Source organism: Homo sapiens, chromosome 2 (assembly GCF_000001405.40).
Source record: "Homo sapiens chromosome 2, GRCh38.p14 Primary Assembly".
NCBI lineage: Eukaryota > Metazoa > Chordata > Mammalia > Primates > Hominidae > Homo > Homo sapiens.
Genome location: NC_000002.12, coordinates 119,794,951 through 119,819,538, shown reverse-complemented (window position 1 = coordinate 119,819,538; position 24,588 = coordinate 119,794,951). Strand labels below are relative to the sequence as shown.

The 24,588-nt window shown below is 37.4% G+C and overlaps 1 protein-coding gene across 1 annotated transcript in view; it reads right to left on the bottom strand.

The window, feature by feature from the left end:
* PTPN4 (protein tyrosine phosphatase non-receptor type 4) overlaps window positions 1-24,588 on the bottom strand; it is a 224,978-nt gene that overhangs the window by 165,361 nt on the left and 35,029 nt on the right. The window contains exon 2 of the mRNA NM_002830.4: window positions 9,548-9,702. Coding sequence (NP_002821.1) covers window positions 9,548-9,685 — 138 coding nt within the window. The 5' untranslated portion in view covers window positions 9,686-9,702. The remainder of the gene's footprint in view (window positions 1-9,547; window positions 9,703-24,588) is intronic.

Here is a 24,588-nt window from a genome sequence, read left to right as displayed (position 1 = left end):
TAACTGAGATCTAAGTCCTATTTGGCTCAACTATCTGGGTCAAGTAAACAATGAATCAGAAAATACAGCAAGTAACATGTTAAATGTTTCAAATCAAAATTCACTGATTATATAATGAGATACGTTTTCATATTTTAAAATAATGAGGATTTGGGGTTCTGATCATATAGAGTAGCTGGTATTGCAATATTCTCCTGTTACAAGCATCTATAAAAACCGGACCAAATATAGACCAAATAAAACATGTATGTAACATTTACAAGCAACAGATACCAACCAACACAGGGCTATGATCTTTGGGAGAAAAGGGCAGATGAATCAAGTCTCACGCTGGCTTTCTCCTTGGGGGCACCTGCCAAACCATACTGTGGAGAAACAAAGCCCAAGCAGACAGTGGTAGTCCTGCTAGGATAAGAAAACTAAAATTAATGTTTGGGGTTGCTATGGTGCCAGGGTTTTGGGGATAGGTTATTAGAACTGAGAAAGTGAAAGGAAAAAAGCTATAAAAATACACATGAAATTGCCCTTTGGTCCTTACTTGCTTCATAGGATGTGCGTACACAGGGTTAGAATTTCTAGGAGAAAATAGCTGTTAACTAAACAGAGATTTCAGAGGTTGTGCAGTTCTGAGAAGGTGTGGTCCAGGCTCGGAGGAGAGATATCTTGATGAACACCTTAGTCACTTAGTTGAGACCCTAGACAAACTCTGTCCTAGGAGTAAGAACAAAGGTGAAACAGACCTATCTTAAAAAGCTTAAAACTAATCTCCATAAGATCAAAGTAATCTGCTGGCTATTTAACTGCCTGCCATAATATAATTCACTATTATTTAGAGGGACTTAATAATCCAGAGCTCCAACAAATAAGAGTCCAAACCTTTCCTATAAAGGGCCAGAAAGCAAATATTTTTAGGCTTTGAGGACACATAGTCTCTGTTGTACATTCTCTTTAAAAACAAACAGAGGCTGGGCATGGTGGCTCATAGCTGTAATCTCAGTGCTCTGGGAGACTGAGGTAGGAGGATTGCTTGAGGCCAGGAGTTCAAGACCAGCCTGGGCAACATAGCAAAAACAATAACCTTTAAAAATGTAAAAAACCATTCTTAGCTATAGGCCATGCAATAACAGCCAGAAGGCTGGATTTGGCCCATGGCCATAGTATGTTGTCCATTACTCTACATTTCACTCACTATGTTCAATATACAACGACAAATTAGCAGATGTGTAAAGCAGGGGAAAGTGACTGACAATCAAGAGACAAGACAGTCAATAAAAACAGATTTAGGGGTGATGTAAATATATGTGTAGACAAGGAGGCTCTAGCTTACCACTCCTATTCAACATAGTATTGGAAGTTCTAACCAGGGCAATCAGGCAAGGGAAAGAAAAAAATGGTATCCAAATAGGAAGAGAGGAAGTCAAACTAACCCTGTTTGCAGTTGACATGATCCTATATCTAGAAAACCCCATAGTCTCAGCCCTCAAGCTTCTTAAGCTGATAAACAACTTCAGCAAAGTCTCAGGAAACAAAATCAACGTGCAAAAATCACAAGCATTCCTATACACCAACAAGAGTCAAGCCAAGAGCCAAATCAGGAATGAACTCCCATTCACAACCGCCACAAAAAGAATAAAATGTCTAGGAACACAACTAGGCAAGTTAAAGATCTCTGCAAGGAAAACTACAAACGACGGCTCAAAGACATCATAGAGGACACTAACAAATGGAAAAACATTCCATGCTCATGGATAGGAAGAATCAATATCGTTAACATGGTCATACTACCCAGAGCAATTTATAGATTCAATGCTATCTCTATTAAACTACCATTGACATTCTTCAAAGAACTAGAGAAAACTATTTTAAAATTCATATGAAGCCGAAGAAGAGCCCAAATAGCCAAGGCAATCCTAAGCAAAAAGAACAAATCTGGAGGGATCACACTACCTGACTTCAAACTATACTACAGGGCTACAGTAACCAAAAACAGTACGGTACTAGTACAAAAACAGACATATAAACCAATGGAACAGAACAGAAAGCCCAGAAATAATGCTACACACCTACAACTGTTGAGAAGAGCAACCCCAAGACACATAATGGTCAGATTCACCAAGGCTGAAATGAAGGAAAATATGTTAAGGGCAGCCAGAGAGAAAAGTTGGGCACATATATCCCAGAAATTAAAGTATTAAAAAAAAAAAAAAGCAATGGGGAAAGGATTCTGTATTCAATAAATGGTGCTGGCATAACTGGCTAGCCATATGCATAAGGCTGAAACTGGACCCCTTCCTTAAGCCATATACAAAAATTAACTCAAGATGAATTAAAGACTTAAATGTAAAAGCCAAAAGTATAAAAACCCTGGAAGACAACCTAGGCAATACCATTCAGGACACAGGCATGGGCAAAGATTTCATGACGAAGACAACAAAAGCAATTGCAACAAAAGCAAAAGTTGACAAATGCATTCCCTTAACTCAGGTCTGTTCACACAGCTCTATGGCAACTTCTGAGATAGGTCTCAGCTTTCAAAAGAATTCGAGCATTACATGGATCTGTGACCCATTTGTGAATAAACCAGGTGAATCAACTTTGTCCGTGCTAGAAGAGAATCAACTGCTTGAGATTGCAAATGATGGTGGCCTTATAAAAGTATGTTTGAGACAACTTCACATCTCCGTAAATTCCAGATTAAAGTCAAGGTGGAATATCCTGAGATTGCTACAACAGCACTGAAAAGCCTGCTTCCATTTCCAACATCCTATCTTTATGAAGCAGTGTTTTCTGAAGTGACAGCAACCAAAATGAGATTATGGAGTAGACTGGACATAAGCAACACACTTTGGGTGTCACTGTCTACCATCACCCCCAGATGGGACCATATAGTTGCAGGAAAACAAGCTCAGGGCTCCCACTGACTCTACATTATGGTGAGCTGTATAATTATTTCATGATATGTTACAATGCAGTAATAACAGAAATTAAATACACAATAAATGTAATGTGCTTGAATCACCCTGAAACCATTGCCCCACACCCAAGTCCGATGAAAAATTGTCTTCCATGAAACCGGTTCCTGGTGCCAAAAAGGTCGGGGACCACTGCCATAGATTATAGATTTTTAATTTTTGATTTTTGATTTATTTTTCAGAGACAAGGTCTTGCTATGCTGTCCAGGCTGAACTCAAACTCCTGGGTTCAAACAATCCTTCCACCGCAGCCTCCTAAGTAACTGGGACTATAAGTGCCTACCGCTGTGCCTAACTAAGATTTTAATACTGTATCTTTACCATACCTTTTCTATGTTTAGATACATTTAGATATACAAATACCATCATGTTATAATAGCCAGTTCACTAACACGCTGTTCAGGTTTGTAGCCTAGGAGCAACAGGCCATACCATATATCCTAGGTGTGTAATAGGTTATACCATCTACATGTGAGTACACTCTATGATGCTCAACACAATGATGAAATCACCTAACGACACATTTCTCAGGATGTATGCCTGTTGTTAAGTGATGCGTGACTATACTTAGAGGAGCACAAGGGAATCCTTTTTATTGAGAGAGATATTCAATGCCTTAATCTGGTGGTACTGCACAGGTGTATACATAAAATAATTCATTGAGTTATATAATGAAGATCTGTGTACTGCACTGTTTTGTGCATTATACATATTACAAAAAACAATAAAATCTACATGTAATTTCCAGAGAAGGAAAACCAAGCTGAAAATCTTTCTAAATAGAATCCAACATCTCTCTCATAATTTAATGGCTGCCAACTATTTTTGAATTATACTCCATAATGTATGTTAGGTATTCAATAATTATTAAATAATGTACATGAATAACTACAATTTTCTGTGGGATAAAAAAAACCTAATTCTCAAAAAAGTAACACTTGACAATTGTTTTCTCTTTACTTTTTACAAATAACTGGCATTTTAAAATTTCTGTGTATATATATTTTTAATCAATACTGCCAGTAAACAAATTGGGTTTTGCAAGCAGTATATGTACACCAATACATGGATGAAAACGTTATATATGCACATCAAACAATTAGTAAATTGCTATTTTGTGGAATTTCAAAAATAACATATTTCCAAGAAAACATTTCTGGAACAAGAGAATGGATCAATTGGATTACAAGCAAGAGAGGAAAGTCAACCTTTCTAAATGCATAATACTAGTCAGATACATAAACAGGCACTTCACCAACATTCTTGTTTAATGCTAAGCATCCTAATGTCAGGTAGATATTATTCTCTCTTAACAAAGAAAGAATATGAAACACAGACAAGAACAACTTGTGTATAGTCACAGAGTAAGCCTTCAAAATAAAGATGTATAAAATCATCATTGAATAACTGCCCAAGAATCTTTCAATAGAAGTAAAGGTCATTTTCAGTAACAGACTTATGCATGGCAAATATAATATGAGACCCAAGAACTATATGCCTGATGAAACCACAGCAAGGTGAAATAATAAAACAAGAAATATGGTCACCTTAATTGTGCTCAACTCTAAATTTGACTGATAAAATAATTTTCTAGTGTTTAATATGATTATAGCCTAGAAAAAAAGGATTTCAAAATAGATAAAAGCTTTAAAAATCTATCATACACTATAATATTGGACTTTTCATATACTATAAAAGCTGACAAAATTATCATGTCTTTTTGTACTAAAGATAAATTCCATTTTAACATCTGATTTTATTTTTTAAAGTTTGGTATTTAATAAATTCTCCTTCAAGGTAGGCACTGTTGACAATCAACTTGAGAGATGTCAAGGTTAAAAATGAGGAAGGCTGAACATAAATGTTTGCTCAAGGCACACTAAAATAACAGTGTAGGTATAGTTAGTAATGAAAGAAAAGACTACCCTAAGAAAATTTTGGAAAATGAAAAGCAACTTCAGTGGTCACCTTAAGTGACAGAAAAAGTTAACAGTGTGAGAAAGGCCTAGGAGCAAGTTCATTTACCCCACAAACTCTAGAAATAGGGGTACAAATTATCTTTCAAAAAGAGAAGGCAGGGTCAGGACTGAAAAAATGTTGAGAGTCTATACAAGTAACAGCCCCTACATGACTTCTCTCACTTCCCCTCCCCTACAGCCAATCACCATAGGAACTGGAGATTTACTCTCTGAAGAAAATGAACCAGAAGGACTCTGGAATCAGGAGCATCATGTGCAGCTGATTAATTTGTACTGTACTAATTGTACAGGCAGATTATACTGCCTGTATTGTACAGACAGAGCCTGCATAATAAGAAAAAATCTACATAGTGAATAGGTAAGTCCTCTCCAATCCCTTCCTCTCACTCAGCTCTAAGAAGACTGGCAGTGAGGCTCTACAAACTCAAGACCTATAAAACTATATGGTTTTGAAAATTGTGTAAATGAATACGCCAATTACATGTACATACATACACTTATAAAATAAAACATATAGATCAAATTTAAAAGATAGATGTGTGTGTGTCACACATACACACACATATACATTTTTTTTTAAGTATGGCACACCTGGGTAAATAATTTAAATAATAAACACAAAGAGCAAATAATAAAAATTAAACCTGTCTTTCATCATCTCTGACTCCTTAAATATGGTAGCTATCCCTTGAGAAGCAAAGGAGACAGTTCTGGGATGAAATTTCTGGGTATCTATGAAAGTAGGAAGATGGGTACAGTAAGTGATGAGGAAGAGGCAAAATGGACACCTCCACAGGATGCCATATTGGCAGACTGTATTTTCCCAGTAAGTCCACGGCAACATTTCTGATCCCACATGATGATCCTCCACTTTTTATCAAGATGCAGTCTATTTCCTTTCACTTAACTCTGTGACAACCTTGACAAATAGAACATGGAAAAAGTAACATTACATGGCTTCCCAGGCCAGACTGGAAAGGCAATATAGCTACAGTGTGGCTCTCTCTCTAAAGATGCTCACCCTTAGAAACCAGCCACTGTGACCGGGCACAGTGGCTCATGCCTGTAATCCTAGCACTTTGGGAGGCCAAGGCAGGTGGATCACCTGAGGTCGGGAGTTCAAGACCAGCCTGACCAACATGAAGAAACCCTGTCTCTACTAAAAACACAAAATTAACCAGGCATGGTGGCACATGCCTGTAATCCCAGCTACTAGGGAGGCTGAGGCAGGAGAATCGCTCGAACCTGGGAGACGGAGGTTGCGGTGAGCCGAGATCGTGCCATTGTACTCCAGCCTGGGCAACAACAGCGAAACTCCGTCTCAAAAAAAAAAAAGAAAGAAAGAAACCAGCCACTGTGCTATGAAGAAGTCCAGGATATCAAGAGGTCATATATAGGTGCCTCAGCCTCAGCTAAGGTTTCAGGTAACAGCCATGTGAGTGAATAAGCCTTCGAATGATTCTAGCCTCCAGCCTTTGAGTCTTCCAGCCGAGGACTGATACATAATGGAGCAAAATTAAGCCTTTTGTGTGTGTGTGTGAATCTCTGACTCACGGAATCCCTGAGGACAATACATGGTTATTTTATGCCACTAAGTTTTAGGGTAATTTCTTACGCAGTCACAGTAACTAAAATAGGCTGGTCCTCCCAGCCCTTCCTTGTTCATCATACAGGCTAACGTTAATCAGCTGCACCAAAGTAAAAGTCAAGTCAAAAATTAGGGGTAAAAATCCTCATAGATTGAAGACATCAATCCATGTAGTACGGACACTATGCATTTTAAAGTATTTAATGCAAACATATTTAGTGAGTTGTTAATGCAAACATATTTGGTGAGATGAATTCTCATATCATGAATTCATTTAGTGACAATGAATTCACGGCATGAGAGGGACAATACACTCCATAGGTTGGCCACAGTAAATAAATGGTTATACCAAAGCCACAGTGAAAATAGGACTTGACATTGAAACAACACAAGCCAACACAAACCCAGTGATAACAGGCTTATCATTCCTATGTCCACAGCAGAGAAAAAGCAAGATCTAGTGAAGTTACATCAACTCCTTCATTACAAAAATTTCCCTCAGAAAATACAGAAACGGCTTTGATGAGATAACTACCAGATGAAACAAAGCAGGCTTTGGCAACATGAATATTTTACCTGTGGTGCAAAAATCTTTCATGAAAAGCAATGACTCCAATGCCTGGTAGTCTCCAAAGGAAACTGAGTAGTTCTCCTTCTTGGTGAACAGAGAAATGCTGGTGAACCTGGCAGCTGCCCACAAAGGATTTCTGAGACTTAATGGTACTAAGTGGACACAAGAAAACAAACACCAAAACTTTCAAACCCCCAATTAGTTTGCAGGCTGCCACATACCACTCCACAGGTTGTAAAGTACATAACTGGAGATCTATTCACATGGATTAAAAGATAAATAATCTACCTAAAAGTACAAAGCAACTCTTTTGGTTTGAATGGCTTGGGTTCAAATACCCAGAGGAATAAATATACCACATAACCAGCAATTTTTCATAAATATTGTTCCTCTTAAGTTTTTTGATGACCTGAGATAATGGTAGAGAAAGTTTCTAGCACCACAGAATGGTAAGCTTACTTACCATTCTAGGTAATATATCCAGGTCTATTGAAACTGCCAGCTAAATATATGTAATATATATTTTTAAAATATAAACATATAAAAGTACATTAATATATATGTCTTTCTAAAAGAGTAACTAGACAGCACATTGATTACTACACTGAAAAATACAGCATACTACTGTTAACTAAAGTGCTCAACAGAAAATTATGCTAGCTGAGAAACATACCAAACCTTTTTACAATATTTTGAAATACATTCAAAACTATAGTTAAAATGAAAACTAAATAGTAGCTAAATTTAAGCTAAGACAAAAGTTATTAAATTTATGCCTTTTCCAAAAAAGAATTCTAACACGTGAATAATAGGAAAAAAGGCTTATTTTCTTACATCAACTGTCTAATACATGAGAGTTTCTATTAAATAGAAATTTGTACGAAGTAGAATTCTCTTCACTTTATGTTATCTCTGTTTGGCAACCTATATTCCAACTATATATTAACAGATGATAGAATACAAAAGAAATCAAAAGTTTAGCTTTTTAGAAAAGCACACTAAATCCTAAATCTGTTGGGTATTTTAGATAATGTTGAAGGTATTTTTAATGATAATGATGTAATATTCACTACTCTGCAGCCCCTTTTTCAATGTGAAATAGCTTGGAATTTGAGATAAATTCATAATCCTGCTATATAGTAATACACAGAAAATTTTAAGCTTAAACTGGTAAATAAGAAAGATTCATTTTTTGTATTATTATACTTTAAGTTCTAGGGTACATGTGCACAACATGCAGGTTTGATACCTAGGTATACATGTGCCATGTTGGTTGGCTGCACCCATCAACTCATCATTTACATTGGGTATTTCTCCTAATGCTATCCCTCCCCCAGCCCCTAATCCCCCGACTGGCCCCGGTGTAAGATTCATATTTTATATTACTTAAAGATTTCAAAGTGTGGAAATACCCAAGTAATACAGCAGAAAACATCCTGAAAAATTTGGAAATACCAAAACATCCTGAAGAATAAGAATTCCAGTTTGAATACAGACTGCATATATTATTATTTTCATAAAGTTAAATTTAGGGATGTGGTAATTATGAGATTCTCGGAATACTGAAGTACTTACTTTCAAAAGGTTCAGGAAAAAAAAGTCATGTAGAGAGAAGGAAACATAAAGTAAATGTGCAAAATGTTAACACTGGGTCAATTTAGGTAAAGGGTATAAGGGTATTCATTATAATATTATTTCACCTTTTCCATATAGGTTGAAAAGTTTTTAAATAAAAAGGGAGAATACACTTTTATATGTATCAAGATATGTACAAGAATGTTCACAGCAGTATTATTTGTAAGAGCCCAAAGTGGAAACAAATCCAAATATATACCAACAATAAACTGGACAAGTAAATGGTAAATGAAAGGATAAGTAAACTATAGTATATTCATACAAAAGGGTACTACAGAGCAGTAACAATGAACTAACTACTGTTAACACACCACATGGGTAAAACTCACAAATAACGATGAGCAAACAAAGCTAGACACAAATAGGATGAACAAATATTTGTTAAATAAATATTTCAGACGATAGATAAGATCAGGGCTGTCATTTATTTTTGTTTGGCAAAAATTTTACTCACAGACAGTACAAGTAAAATTACCATGAATATGTATAAATTATTTAGAAGAACAAATTCTTTTCAGGCACCCTCAAGCACATTTATGAAAACCACACACATACTATGGATCTGCTCTACTAATCAAAATGCACACTGTTGGTTTCTCAACAACATCCAGTGAGCAACACTTTTTAAAAAGACCCAGTTTGAATGAGAGCATGCATCTAATACAATCCTGCACCAAAAAGACTTTTTTACTTGAATAAGACTTTTCAAACTGTACTATAATTTAATAATCCTAGTTTACATATATGTCTAAATTCAGACTTATAGCCAGAGATTATTTTTTAAAAGACACAAAATACTTACATTGACTTTGAAAGCTTGTACAGTGTTATCCAGAAGAAGGATGTTGCAAACCACTTCAGTATGCTGTCTGTCTCGGGCCAACTCTGATGCTCGTACATTGTAGGTTCTGCCAGCAGGCAATCGGAAACGTGAGGTCATTACTGTCCACACAAAGTCTAAGTTAAAAAAAAAAAAATTCACTAAATAAAAGGTTCGTAAAATATAAGCTGTAGTTTAAAAGGCAAAGTTATTATATATTTCTCAATTAAAACTTAGGTGGAAAACAGTTATAAATTTTGAAACACCAGAATAAGAATTGTAGGTATAAGTTATATATAGTTCATCATCAAACTAAAGTTACCACTGCTTTGAAAAAGAGGTTTTTTTTTTAACTGCTCCATCCAGAAGATTTAATACATAAATTTTTAAGGAAGTCATATTCCAATTCAAAATATGTAAACTTTGGAGTAGCCAAAAGGGGCGGGAAGATTATGCTGCCTCAGGAAGTTGGATATTACTCATTGATGCAAGTATTTTAAAGCACTGTAGAATGACAACAGGAGGAAAAATTATTTAATTTTGGCAGGCCCTTCCCTTTTTTAAAAAACTTAAGGTGTTGGGGAAACCAAGAAGTTTAAAAAAAAAAACAACCCTTCATTTTAACCATCCTCAAAATTCAACCTAATAGTATTATTGTTATTATTCCTAAGAAAACAAAATAGAAATGGTGACCAATCTTTGCTTCTGAATTTTTAACCTAAGAGATAAAAACTAGATGGCCTATAAAACAACAGAAATCACAGTGATATCAGCGATACTAGATGTTTAAAGACAATGAAGCTGTAGCTTCAAAGTTGTGAAAGAAAATTCTTTGAAACACTGACTTATATACCTAGAAAATTAACATTCATGGAGGAGAAAAAAAAACTCTTAAAACACTCAGGCATTTAAGGATTCAAACTTTAAAACACCTAACACTTCTGTCTTAAAGACAATTAGGTAAAGGAAACACACTAAACTAGAAGAAAGACTAGTATTTGGGATGTTTGAATGAGTAAGCAATAAGTAGTAAGCAGTATGAACAATGAGTAAGCAAAATATAATGAAAATAGTATTTCAAATCAGTGATAATACCTGGAGCTGATCTCTCACAGATTATTCATTTCAAAAGATTAAAGCTCAAAGTAAAAGTCATTGTTATATAAATATAAAAATAATGTAGGGGAAAAAAGTCTTACTATGTTGACAAGGAGACGCTTGCCAAGTAAAATTCCACAATTAAAAGACAGTGATTGGGCTGGGTGAAGTGGCTCATGACTGTAATCCCAACGATTTGGGAGGTGGGAGGATTGCTTCAGGACAAGAGTTTGAGACCAGCCTGGAAAACACAGGGAGGCCCTGTTTCTACAAAAAAGAATGTTTTAAAAATTAGCTGGGCCTCTTTTACATCGTTGAGCAGTGGTTTGTAGTTCTCCTTGAACAGGTCCTTCACATCCCTTGTAAGTTGGATTCCTAGGTATTTTATTCTCTTTGTAGCAATTGTGAATGGGAGTTCACTCATGATTTGGCTCTCTGTCTGTTATTGGTGTATAGGAATGCTTGTGATTTTTGCACATTGATTTTGTATCCTGGGACTTTGCTGAAGTTGCTTATCAGCTTAAGGAGATTTTGGGCTGAGATGATGGGGTTTTCTATATATACAATCATGTCATCTGCAAACAGGGACAATTTGACTTCCTCTTTTCCTAACTGAATACCCTTTATTTCTTTCTCTTGCCTGACTGCCCTGGCCAGAACTTCCAACACTATGTTGAATAGGAGTGGTTGAGAGAGGGCATCCCTGTCTTGTGCCAGTTTTCAAAGGAAATGCTTCCAGCTTTTGCCCATTCAGTATGATATTGGCTGTGGGTTTGTCATAAATAGCTCTTATTATTTTGAGATACGTTCCATCAATACCTAGTTTATTGAAAGTTTTTAGCATGAAAGGCTGTTGAATTTTGTCAAAGGCCTTTTCTGCATCTATTGAGATAATCATGTGGTTTTTGTCATTGCTTCTGTTTAGCTGATGGATTACGTTTATTGATTTGTGTATGCTGAACCAGCCTTGCATCCCAGGGATGAAGCCGACTTGATCTTGGGGGATAAGCTTTCTGATATGCTCCTAGATTCAGTTTGCCAGTATTTTATTGAGGATTTTTGCATCGATGTTCATCAGGGATATTGGTCTAAAATTCTCTTTTTTTGTTGTGTCTCTGCCAGGCTTTGGTATCAGGATGATGCTGGCCTCATAAAATGAGTTAGGGAGGATTCTCTCTTTTTCTATTGATTGGAATAGTTTCAGAAGGAATGGTACGAGCTCCGCTTTGTAACTCTTGTAGAATTCGGCTATGAATCCGTCTGGTCCTGGACTTTTTTTGGTCGGTAGGCTATTAATTATTGCCTGAATTTCAGAGCCTGTTATTGGTCTATTCAGAGATTCAACTTCTTCCTGGTTTAGTCTTGGGAGGGTGTATGTGCCCAGGAATTTATCCATTTCTTCTAGATTTTCTAGTTTATTTGCGTAGAGGTGTTTATAGTACTCTGATGGTAGTTTGTATTTCTGTGGGATGGGTGGTGATATCTCCTTTATGATTTTTTATTGCGTCTATTCGATTCTTCCCTCTTTTCTTCTTTATTAGTCTGGCTAGCAGTCTATCAATTTGTTGATCTTTTCAAAAAACCAGCTTCTGGATTCATTGATTTTTTGAAGGGTTTTTTGCGTCTCTATCTCCTTCAGTTCTGCTCTGATCTTAGTTATTTCTTGCCTTCTGCTAGCTTTTGAATGTGTTTGCTCTTGCTTCTCTAGTTCTTTTCATTGTAATGTTAGGGTGTCGATTTTAGATCTTTCCTGCTTTCTCTTGTGGGCATTTAGTGCTATAAATTTTCCTCTACGCACTGCTTTAAGTTGTCCCAGAGATTCTGGTACGTTGTGTCTTTGTTCTCATTGGTTTCAAATAACATCTTTATTTCTACCTTAATTTTGTTATTTACCCCGTAGTCATTCAGAAGCAGGTTGTTCAGTTTCCATGTAGTTGTGTGGTTTTGTGTGAGTTTCTTAATCCTGAGTTCTAATTTGATTGCATTGTGGTCTGAGAGACAGTTTGTTGTGATTTCTGTTCTTTTACATTTGCTGAGGAGTGCTTTACTTCCAACTATGTGGTCAATTTTGGATGTGGTGTGTGATGTGGTGCTGAGAAGAATGTATATTCTGCTGATTTGGGGTGGAGAGTTCTGTAGATGTCTATTAGGTCCGCTTGGTGCAGCGCTGAGTTCAATCCTGGATATTCTTTCTAACCTTCTGCCTCGCTGATCTGTCTAATGTTGACAGTAGGGTGTTAAAGTCTTCCATTATTATTGTGTGGGAGTCTAAGTCTCTTTGCAGGTCTCTAAGGACTTGTTTTATGAATCTCGGTGCTCCTGTATTGGGTGCATATATATTTAGGATAGTTAGCTCTTCTTGTTGAATTGATCCCTTTACCATTATGTAATGGCCGTCTTTGTCTCTTTTGATCTTTATTGGTTTAAACTCTGTTTTATCAGAGACTGGGATTGCAACCCCTGCTTTTTTTTGCTTTCCATTTGCTTGTTAGATATTCCTCCATCCCTTTATTTTGAGCCTATGTGTGTCTCTGCACGTGAGATGGGTCTCCTGAATACAGCACACTGATGGGTCTTGACTCTTTATCCAATTTGCTAGTCTGTCTTTTAATTGGGGCATTTAGCCAATTTACATTTAAGGTTAATATTGTTATATGTGAATTTGATCCCATCGTTATGATGTTAGCTGGTTATTTTGCCCATTAGTTGATGCAGTTTCTTCCTAGCATCGATGGTCTTTACAATTTGGCATGTTTTTACAGTGGCGGGTACCAGTTGTTCCTTTCCATGTTTAGTGCTTCCTTCGGGAGCTCTTGTAAGCCAGGCCTGGTGGTGACAAAATCTCTCAGCATTTGCTTGTCTGTAAAGAATTTTATTTCTCCTTCACTTATGAAGCTTAGTTTGGCTGAATATGAAATTCTGGGGTAAAAGAGGACACAAACAAATGGAAGAACATTCCATGCTCATGGATAGGAAGAAGGAGTATCGTGAAAATGGCCATACTGCCCAAGGTAATTTATAGATTCAATGCCATCCCCATCAAGCTAACAATGATTTTCTTTGCAGAACTGGAAAAAACTACTTTGAAGTTCATATAGAACCAAAAAAGAGCCCACGTTGCCAAGACAATCCTAAGCAAAAAGAACAAAGCTGGAGGCATCACACTATCTGACTTCAAACTATACTACAAGGCTACAGTAACCAAAACAGCATGGTACTGGTATCAGAACAGAGAGATAGACCAATGGAACAGAACAGAGGCCTCAGAAATATCACCACACATCTACAACCATCTGATCTTTGACAAACCTGACAAAAACAAGAAATGGCCCTATTTAATAAATGGTGCTGGGAAAACTGGCTAGCCATATGTAGAAAGCTGAAACTGGATCCCTTCCTTACACCTTATACAAAAATTAATTCAAGATGGATTAAAGACTTAAATGTTAGACCTAAAACCATAAAAACCCTAGAAGAAAACCTAGGCAATACCATTCAGGACATAGGCATGGGCAAGGACTTCATAACTAAAACACCAAAAGCAATGGCAAAAACAAACAAAACAAAATAGACAAATGAGATCTGATTAAACTAAAGAACTTCTGCACAGCAAAAGAAACTACCATCAGAGTGAACAGGCAACATACAAAACAGGAGAAAATTTTTGCAATCTATCCATCTACGAAGGGCTAATATCCAGAATCTACAAAGAACTTAAACAAATTTATAAGAAAAAAACAAACAACCCCATCAAAAAGTGGGCAAAGGATATGAACAGACACTTCTCAAAAAAAGACATTTATGCAGCCAACAGACACATGAAAAAATGCTCATCATCACTGGTCATCAGAGATGACCAGAATGCAAATCAAAACCACAATGAGATACCATCTCATGCCAGTTAGAATGGCGATCATTAAAAAGTCAGGAAACAACAGATGCTGGAGAGGATGTGGAGAAATAGAACACTTTTACACTGTTGGTGGGAGTGTAAACTAGTTCAACCATTGTGGAAGACAGTATGATGATTCCTCAAGGATCTAGAACTAGAAATACCATTTGACCCAAAGATCCCATTACTGGGTATATGCCCAAAGGATTATAAATCATTCTGCTATAAAGACACATACACGTGTATGTTTGTTGCAGCACTATTCACAATAGCAAAAACTTGGAACCAACCCAAATGTTCATCTATGATAGACTAGATTAAGAAAATGTGGCACATATACACCATGGAATACTATGCAGCCATAAAAAAGGATGAGTTCACGTCCTTTGCAGGGACATGGATGAAACTGGAAATCATCATTCTGAGCAAACTATCGCAAGGAGAGAAAACAAAACACTGCATGTTCTCACTCACAGGTGGGAAATGAACAATGAGAACACTTGGACACAGGGCGGGGAACATCACACACGGGGGCCTGTCGTTGGGTGGAGGGCAGGGAGAGGGATGGTATTAGGAGAAATACCTAATGTAAATGATGAGTTAATGGGTGCAGCAAACAAACATGGCACATGTATACCTATGTAACAAACTTGCACGTTGTGCACATGTACCCTAGAACTTAAAGTATAATTAAAAAAAAAAAATTAGCTGAGCATGGTGGCATGCACCTGTAGTCCTAGCTACTCAGGAGGCTGAGGTAGGAGGATCCCTTGAGCCCAGGAGTTCAAGGTTACAGTGAGCTATGATCATGCCACTGTACCCCAGTGTCAGAGACAGACAGAAACCCTGTCTCTAAGAAACTAAAATGACAGTGATTGGCGGAGTGGGGGTGGGGATGGGGTACATGGCCCAGCTATAATGCTGTCTTCCAGAAACTCTCCTCACATATAACAATACAGGCAGGTAGAAAGTACAAGGATGGAAAGAGATGTATCATGGAAACATTAATCAATAGGAAGAAGAGTACCTATATTAGTATCAGATAAAGTAGACTTGGGAACAAATAAAATTCATAAGAACAGATTAGGCATTACATAATGATAAAATGGTCAAGCCACCGAGACATTACCAATCCTAAATGTGGATGTACCAACCAACAGAGCTGCAAAAATACATGAAGCAAAACTGTCAAACTGAAATAAAAAAAGATAAATCCCACAATTATAGGAGAGCTCAACTCCCCTTTCTCAATAATTGATACAACTAGGAAAATTAGCAAGAATATAAGAGAACTTAACAACCAATAGGATCTAATCATGAACATTTATAGAACACTCTAGCAAAGACAACAGAATATTAATTATTTTTAAACATCCACTGAACATTTCAAGAGAGACCATATCCTGGGCTAAGAAACAAATCTAAATATTTAAATAATTGAAATTATGCAAAATGTATTCTGAGAACAATGGAATCAAACCAGAAATCAACAACAGAAAGACAACAGAAAAATCTCCAAACACGTAGAAACTAAACAAGTCTACGTTATCCACTGGACAAAGAGGAAATCTTAAGGAAAATCAAGATACACTGATTGAATAAAAATGAAAACACAACATATCAAAATTTGTGAGATATGATTTAAGCAGTGCTGACAGAAATCTACAGCAATATATGCATACAATAGAAAACAGGAAATGTCTCAAATCAGTAATCTAACCTCCCTCCTCAAGAACCTAGACAATGAGCTAAATGAACTCATAGCAAACAGAAGGAAGGAAATAACAAAGAACATAAATCAATGAAATTAAAGAAAATAAAAATAGAGAAAATCAATAGGGGAAAAAAGCTAGTTCTTTAAAGGATCAATAAACATAATAAACCTCTAGCAAGGCTAACAAAGAAACAGAAAACACAAATTGCTAACATTAGGAATGAAACAGAGGATACCACATAGACTTTGCAACCATTGAAATGGTAATACTACAAACAACTTATACATCAATTTGACATAAAAAGAACCAATTCCATGAAAGGCACAAACTGCCAAAATTCAGCCAATATGAAACAGAAAATTTAAACAGCCCTATAACTATTTTAAAAATCAAATTCGTAATTCTAAAACTCCCCCAACAGAATATTCAAACACAGAGGGTTTCCTGGGAAAATCTACCTAACATTTAAAGAAAAAGTAACACAATTTCTAGATGATCTCTTCCAGAAAGCAGAATAGAAAAGGATACTTCTCAAATCATTCCATGTAGCCAATTTTATCCTGATGGAAAAAACAGACAAAAACATAAAGAAAACTACAAACCAATATTCCTCATGAATACAGACACAAAAACCCTTAATAAAATACAAGAAACCAGAATTCAGCAATATGTAAAAAGAATTACATACCATGTACCAAGGGGGTTTTATTTCAAAGGTGCAACAAGGTTCACCCAATATTTTAACAATCAATCAATATAATCCACCTTATTAACAGACTAAGGGAGAAAAATCACATGACCTTTTTAATCAATGCAGGAAAGCATTTGACAAAATTCACCACCCATTCATAATAAAAAATTCTTAGAAAACTAGAAATAAAGGGATCTTCTTCAACATAATAAAAAGCATCTACAAAAAAATCCACAGCTAACATCATACTTAATGGTTAAAGCCTGAATGCTTTCCCCTATAACCAGGAATAAGGCAAGGAAGGGTATCTGCTCTCACCACTCATATGCAACATAATGCTGCAAGTCCTAGCCTATGCTGTGAGGTTAAAAAAAGGAGGAGCGCCGGGCACGGTGGCCGGTAATCCCAGCACTTTGGGAGGCTAAGGCAGGCGGATTACAAGGTCAAGAGATCGAGACCATCCTGGCTAACAGGGTGAAACCCCGTCTCTCCTAAAAATACAAAAAATTAGCTGGGTGTGGTGGCGGGCGCCTGTTGTAGTCCCAGCTACTTGGGAGACTGAGGAAGGAGAATCGCTTGAACCCAGGAGGCGGAGGTTGCAGTGAGCCAAGATTGCGCCACTGCACTCCAGCCTGGGTGAGAGAATAAGACTGCCTCAAAAAAAAAAAAAAAAAAAACGGAAAGAAAGAAAGAAAAAACAGAAAAAGAAAGAAATAGCATACAGGAATAAATTAAACATTTTTGCAGATGAAATAATTTTACAAAGAAAATCCCAAGGAATCTACAAAAGCACTCCTAGAACTAATAAGTAAGTTCAGCGAGGTCACCCAATACATCAACATACAAAAATCAGTTTTATTTGTGTATGCTAGGAATAAATATGAGGAGTCAAACAAAATACAGTATAATTTGCAACTGCTAAACAAAAAACAAAATACTTAGGTGTAAATCTAACAAAACACATAGAGAACTTCTATGCTAAAAACTACAAAATGCTGATAAAAAAATTGAAGAAAATCTAAATAAATGGAGAGACATAACTATGTTCACGGACTGGAACATTCAAACTAGTAAACACGTCAATTCTCTCCAAATAGGCATACAGGTTTAATGTAATTTCTATCAAAATCCCAGTACTTTTTTGTAGATAATTTTATTTTAGATAATTTTATTCTAAAATTAATATGGAAGGCCAGGCGCAGTGACTCACGCCTGTAATCCCAGAATTTTGGGAGGCCTAGGCAGGCAGAACACTTGAGGCCAGGAGCTCAAGACCAGCCTGGCCAACTTGGCGAAACCCCATCTCTACTAAAAATAGAAAAATTAGCCAGGCGTGGTGATGCATGTTTGTAATCCCAGCTACTCAGTAGGCTAAGGCAGGAGAATCACTTGAACCCAGGAGGCGGAGCTTCAGTGAACCAAGATCGTGCCACTGCACTCCAGCTTGGGTGATAGAGCGAGGCTCTGCCTCAAATTTAAAAAAAATAAAAAATTAATATGGAAAGGCAAAGGAATCATTGTAGCAAAAACAATTTTGAAAAAGACTAAAGTGGGAGTAACTATACTCCCACTCCCAAAGAAAAATAAACTGGGAATCCCTCTCCCAGATTTTATGATTATGTACCTACATTTATCAAGACTGTTGGTAACGACAGAAGTAGAGACACCGAGATCACTGGAACAAAATAGAATTACCACACAAGTACAGCCAACTGATTTTTAACAAAGGTACAAAAACAATTCAACAGAGAAAGGATGGCCTTTTCAACAAACAGTGCTGAACCAATCAGAAATCCATACACAAAATGAAAAATGAACCTCAACCTAAACCTCACACCTTATGCAAAAAATTACTCACTGACTCAGATTTAAATGTAAAACCTAAAACACTAACTTTTAGAAGAAAACATACTAGAAAATCTTAGGGACCTAGGTATGGTGAAGTGTTCTTAGATGTGACATCAAAAGCATGATTCATAAAAACAACAACAAAAAAGACAAATTAGCTATATCATCAAAATTTAAAACTTACAGACTGTAAAAAAAAAAAAGCCTGCAAAACATTTATCTGACAATAGACTAGTACTCAGAATATGTAATAAACTCTCAGAACTCAACAGTAAAAAAAAAAAAAAATCAAATAATCCCATTAGAAAATGGGCAAAAAAACATAAAAAGACATTTTACCGAATGGGATATTCAGATGGCCATTAAGCACATGAAAGGATGCTCAATCTGAGCCATTTGGGAAATGTAAATTAAGACCATTATGAGATACCACCATATACCTATTTAACGGCCAAAATAAAAAATAGTGGCATTTTGGTAAAGATGCTGAGAAACTGGATCTCTGACAAAATCCTGAAACAAATACATACAATTCAAATATCTTACTACAAGTGGGAGGTAGAGGAATGTTAAAAATAATGATTGCATCCTCTTAGAATTAAAAGAACATATGAGAACAAAAGGCTCTTTAAAGCAATCTGGAGGAATGAAGTCATTACGCATTTTTCCTTTAATAAGGTATTATCTCCCTTTTACCCAAAAAGAATGTATCGACTCACAATTTTTTTCTATTTTATCTTCTATATGTAACTTAAGAAAATGAAGAAAAATCTGTATAAAATTACTTTCATAATGGTCAAAGAACGCATTTTTATTTTGCAAACTACATCACTGGAGGAGTCTAAAGTTTTCTATATGGTATTTTTCTTGACCAGAAAATAATTACATTAAAAGCATGATCAACTCCTGATTTTATGAAGTGAAGACACAGGAAAAGAGAACCAGCACTTGAAGCTAACCCACCTAGTCAGCTTTAACGTCTTTTCCTTCTTTTCCGTTTCCTGTGTTTCCAGGGGAAATGTTTTGGAATTATAAACCCCACCATATTCTTTCAGTTCCAAGAAGAGTGAATTCTGGGGTGAAAAAAGTGCCTAAATTAGGCAAACTTCTTAGAAAGGTGAGAATCTGTAAGCTCAATTATTTCAAATTTGCTGAGAGGTGGCAGACTTATAGCCAGATACAAAGGTAATTCTTCATACTCCCAACCTAAAGTATAATAACCAAATTACCATGTCTAGTATTTCCCTTTTAAATGGCCAACTTTAAAACGAAAAATTTGCCATTACTCACATGTCTTATTTCTATTGATTCTTAACAAGGGTTATCATTAACTGAAGTGTTTTTTATTTTTCAAATGTTCTACTAATTTGTTTGATAACTTTGGATTGGATAGTTTGTCAATAAAATATTTCCAATACTAAGAAGCAGTCATCATTGAAATAATCACTGTTCCTGCTTTATAACTTTTCAGCATTTCACTTATGGAGGTTAAAAATAGCTGTGACAAAAATTAGTATCAGTAGTTTGAACTTTGCTACTACAATCTCTACAGACCAATAGAGGAACATTAAGTCATCCTAGTTTCCAATGATCTGAAGCCGAAAAATAACATTCAAATGTCCCTAACAACTTCACCTGCCATAACAACTATGAAAGATGATTGTATAGAGCTACATTTTGGTTATCTCCTGGGTTTTATAAGGTTTATTACTGGATCAGAGAGAAGCCGAGGAGTAGCCATCAAACAATACATTCGATAAAGCAATCATAACGATATATCAACAGTATATTTTCCACCCTTCAGGTCCTGAAAATCAGCACTCCTCCCAGCCTGCTTTTCTGCCTCATACTCCACTAGTTACGGCTGTGAATAAATTAGTCTGACACTATAAGCTGAGTCTTTGAAAATGAATAAACAATAGTTAATAAAACAGTATATTTGGAGAACCTACCTGAATATGGTATTAATCTATCCAAATAAATATAGACCTAAAGCTTAAGTGAATTGTCTAATCAGCTCTTGATTTTTCCATAAACTAACACAATATTTTTAGTTACCAAGGTATCAAATATATTCCCACTTCCTGCCACATTTACTTTTCATTTCACAATACAGTAATTCTTAATTTCTGGAGAATTCACTACTTGAAAATTCTCTCTTTGGGAAAAAATATGCTAAATCTTCATGTTTTAAAAGGGGAAAGAAGATCAAATAAAATTATCTATCACATCTTTACTTTTCCATTTGAAAGGTGTTGCAGTTGGCCGCGCATGGTGGCTCATGCCTGTAATCCCAACACTTTGGGAGGCCAAGGTGGGAGGATCACCTGAGGTCCAGAGTTCAAGACCAGCCTGGCCAACATGGTGAAACCCTGTCTCTACTAAAAATACAAAAATTAGCCAGGCATGGTGGCGGGTGCCTGTCATCCCAGCTACCCGGTAGGCTGAGGCAGGAAAATCGCTTGAACCTGGAAGGCGGAGGTTGCAGTAAGCTGAGATCATGCCATTGCACTCCAGCCTGGGTGACAAGCGCAAAACTCCGTCTCAAAAAAAAAAAAAAAGATGTTGCAGTAAAATTGGTATATATGTATAAACAGCTGCTGACAGTAGGAAAGAGCCCATTTCTTTTAAAAAAGGATTATAAATAATAATCTATAAAAATGTTTATTCCTTTAAACATATTTAATGTACCTATAAAATTGTAAATATTCTAAAAGTTTGAAAACCAAGATAAATCTACTTTTTATGTTCAAAAAATATGTAAAAAGTTATATACATTATGTTAAGTGAAGAGTTGAACATAAATGATGTTCGAACTATAAAAGATATGAACAAATACAAAAAAAGAAGAAGCGCTTAGGCAAATGCACACCATGACTGGGGAATTAAAATTCTGGGATACAATTTTTTCATATTTAAAATTCTGTTAACGTTAATATAATCTATTTTGTTTAATAAAAATATGCATGCTGTTTCCGACCTTGTTTTAACCTCAAAGGTCAAATGGCAAAAACTTAGTTTATTTTTTCTATTGCCATAAATAGAGATTAAAGGATTTAGGCCATAGAAGACAAATGACATGACCATATGCAGCAGCAGCAAGAAAGCACAAGAAAGATGGACTGAAGGTGGCAGAGAATGGAGGAAAGAGATCAGCTGGATCTTCTTGACCTGATAAAGGACATCTACAGAAAACATATTCAACATCGCACTTAATGGCAAAAAATTGAGCACTTTTCATCTAATATCAGGAACAAAACAAAGATGTCCATCTACTTTTACCACTTCTAAAGCAACTCTGAAAAAGATGGTCACCATAGGGGAGTATATCTACCTGATTTCAAGACTTACTATAAAGCTAGCAAAACCAAGACACTGTCATACAGGCATCAAGATAAGACAACACATCAATGGAACAAAACAGTCCAGAATAATACCCCCATATATATGGACAACGTAACTTTGACAAAGGTAAAAAGGGAATTCAGTGGAGAGTGGCTAATCTTTTCTTCATCACTCTTTCGACATCATCAAAATTAAACTATCTGCTGTTCAAAAGGCACTGTTAAGAGAATGAAAAGACAACCCAGAGGCTGGGAAAAAATTTGCAAAAGCACATAGGACTTGTATCCAAAATATAAAGAACTCTCAAAACTAAATAAAAAGAAAAAAACAATTAAAAAAACAAGGCGAAAGATGTGAACAAATACTTCACCAAAGAAGATATATGGATGGCAAATAACCATACAAAAAGATGCTCAACATCATGAGACATTAGGCTCAGGCAATTTAAAACCATGCGATATCACTACCTACCTATCAGAATGGCAAAACACACACACACACACACACACACACACACACACACAAAAACAGTGACAATGCCAAATGCTGGAAATGATCTAGAGAAAATACATCTCTCATTCATCACTGGTGGGAATATAAAATGTTACAACAATGCTGGAAAACGGTTTGGCACTTTCTTACAAAATTGAACATATTCCTGCTTTATGAGCTGTCCATTGCGTTCCTAGGTAACAAATGCATAGATCCATATAAAGATCTGTATATGAATGTTTTATTATATCCCCAAACTGGAAACAAGCATCTAATAGGTGAATTAGTTTATTCATATGTGATATTAATTGACCTGTAGTATATCAATAAAATGGAATACAAGTAATAAAACAGAACTATTCATACATGCAACAACATAGACAAGTCTAAAAATAATTACAATGAGAAACAAATTAGACCAAAAAAAGAGTATATACTGTATGATTCCATTTATATAAAATTCTACAAAACACAAACAAAGCTATGGTGATAGACAGCAGACCAGCAGTTCCCTGGGGATGAGAGTCCAGTGGGGGAGCTGTGGGAGAAGGGATTACATCAAGGCACAAAAAAACTTTCAGGAGTAATAGATATGTTCATTATTTTTATTGTAGTGGTGGTTTAATGGATGTATACATATGTCAAAATGATGGTGGCAGCAGCGGGCCATCCAGAACAGCCACTGCCATCACGCCAGCTGCAGTGGGGAGGCCAGAGCAGTGGCAGCAGGAGCAGCTGTGGGAGCAGCAGTGGGTCCCTTGTGTCCTGCATCCCTGAGGCAGCCTCTGGGCCACCCCTGCCCTCGCATGGCCGGGTAGGACCCATTTCCAGGCCCGAAGCCTCGGCAATCATGCTCCCCACTGCATCTCAGGGGCCCGCAGGCACCCCAAAGAAGGTGCAGTCAGGATTCGCAAGGCTGGCCCCAAGTGTAGGGTTCATTTCTGCAGGGTTTGCCTGGCTGCAGTGCCACCTGCACCTTGCCCCCATGCCTCCCCTCGCTCCTGAGCCATTGCGATGGGGCCGGGCAAGTCACCCACCAGTGAGGGAGCAGTGATGTTAGGCACAAAGGGGTGGGGATAGAGGGCCCCAAGGCAGAACTGGGCCCAGGGCGGTGCCTTGCTCCACAGAGCTGGTGGAAGCCAGGAGCAGGCAGAAGCCCCGCCCCCCAGGCATGGATGTTGCTGCAAAAGTTACAGTTGTGGACCCAGGCATCTCTGCAATCTTGGGGGACCCAGGAAGGCCCCCCCTTGCCCTCACAGGCTCAGAGGTGTCTGCTCCCACTGCCTGGCCTCTCCCTGTTGTCAACGCCAGCTCCGACTGTGGAGCCAAGTTGAGGCCAAGCCCGGGTGCTGTCACAACCCAGCCAGGTATGCACACACCAGAAGCAGTACTGACATGCCAGCCCCCTGCCACCTTGGCCCCCTCTGGACTTTGGGTGCCAACGAGCACAGGAGAAAGGCCGAGGAGGGGGTGAGGCCCGCTTAGCACTGGCCTGCAGGCGCCCCTTGGCACAAATAGCCTGGGCACCATGAACGGTGGCAGGAGTCAGGCTCCTGGGTGGAAGAGGCCAGCCAGGTCCCCGGTAAAGCCCCACCTTCAAGCCACAGAGAGCCTGAAGCCTGGGGGCTGGGCTGCTGGTCCCATGGACCAGAGTGGGAACTTGTGGTGCCTTTTCCAGTCCGTCCATGGCCACCCATGGACCAAGCAGCAAGCACTTCCCTCTGAGGCCCATAAATCCCCAGACTCAGCCAGACACCAAGAGATGATGGGACAACCAACTGCAGAGAGGACCTGCCCACCTCAGGGTCTCCTCTCTGCTCAGAGCTGAGGAGACAACAGGACAACCAGCAGCCAAGAAGAACTACCCTCTCCGCTGAGAGCTGAAGAAACAATGGGATAGCCAGCTGCAGAGTGGAGCTACCCTTTCTGCTGAGAGCTGAAC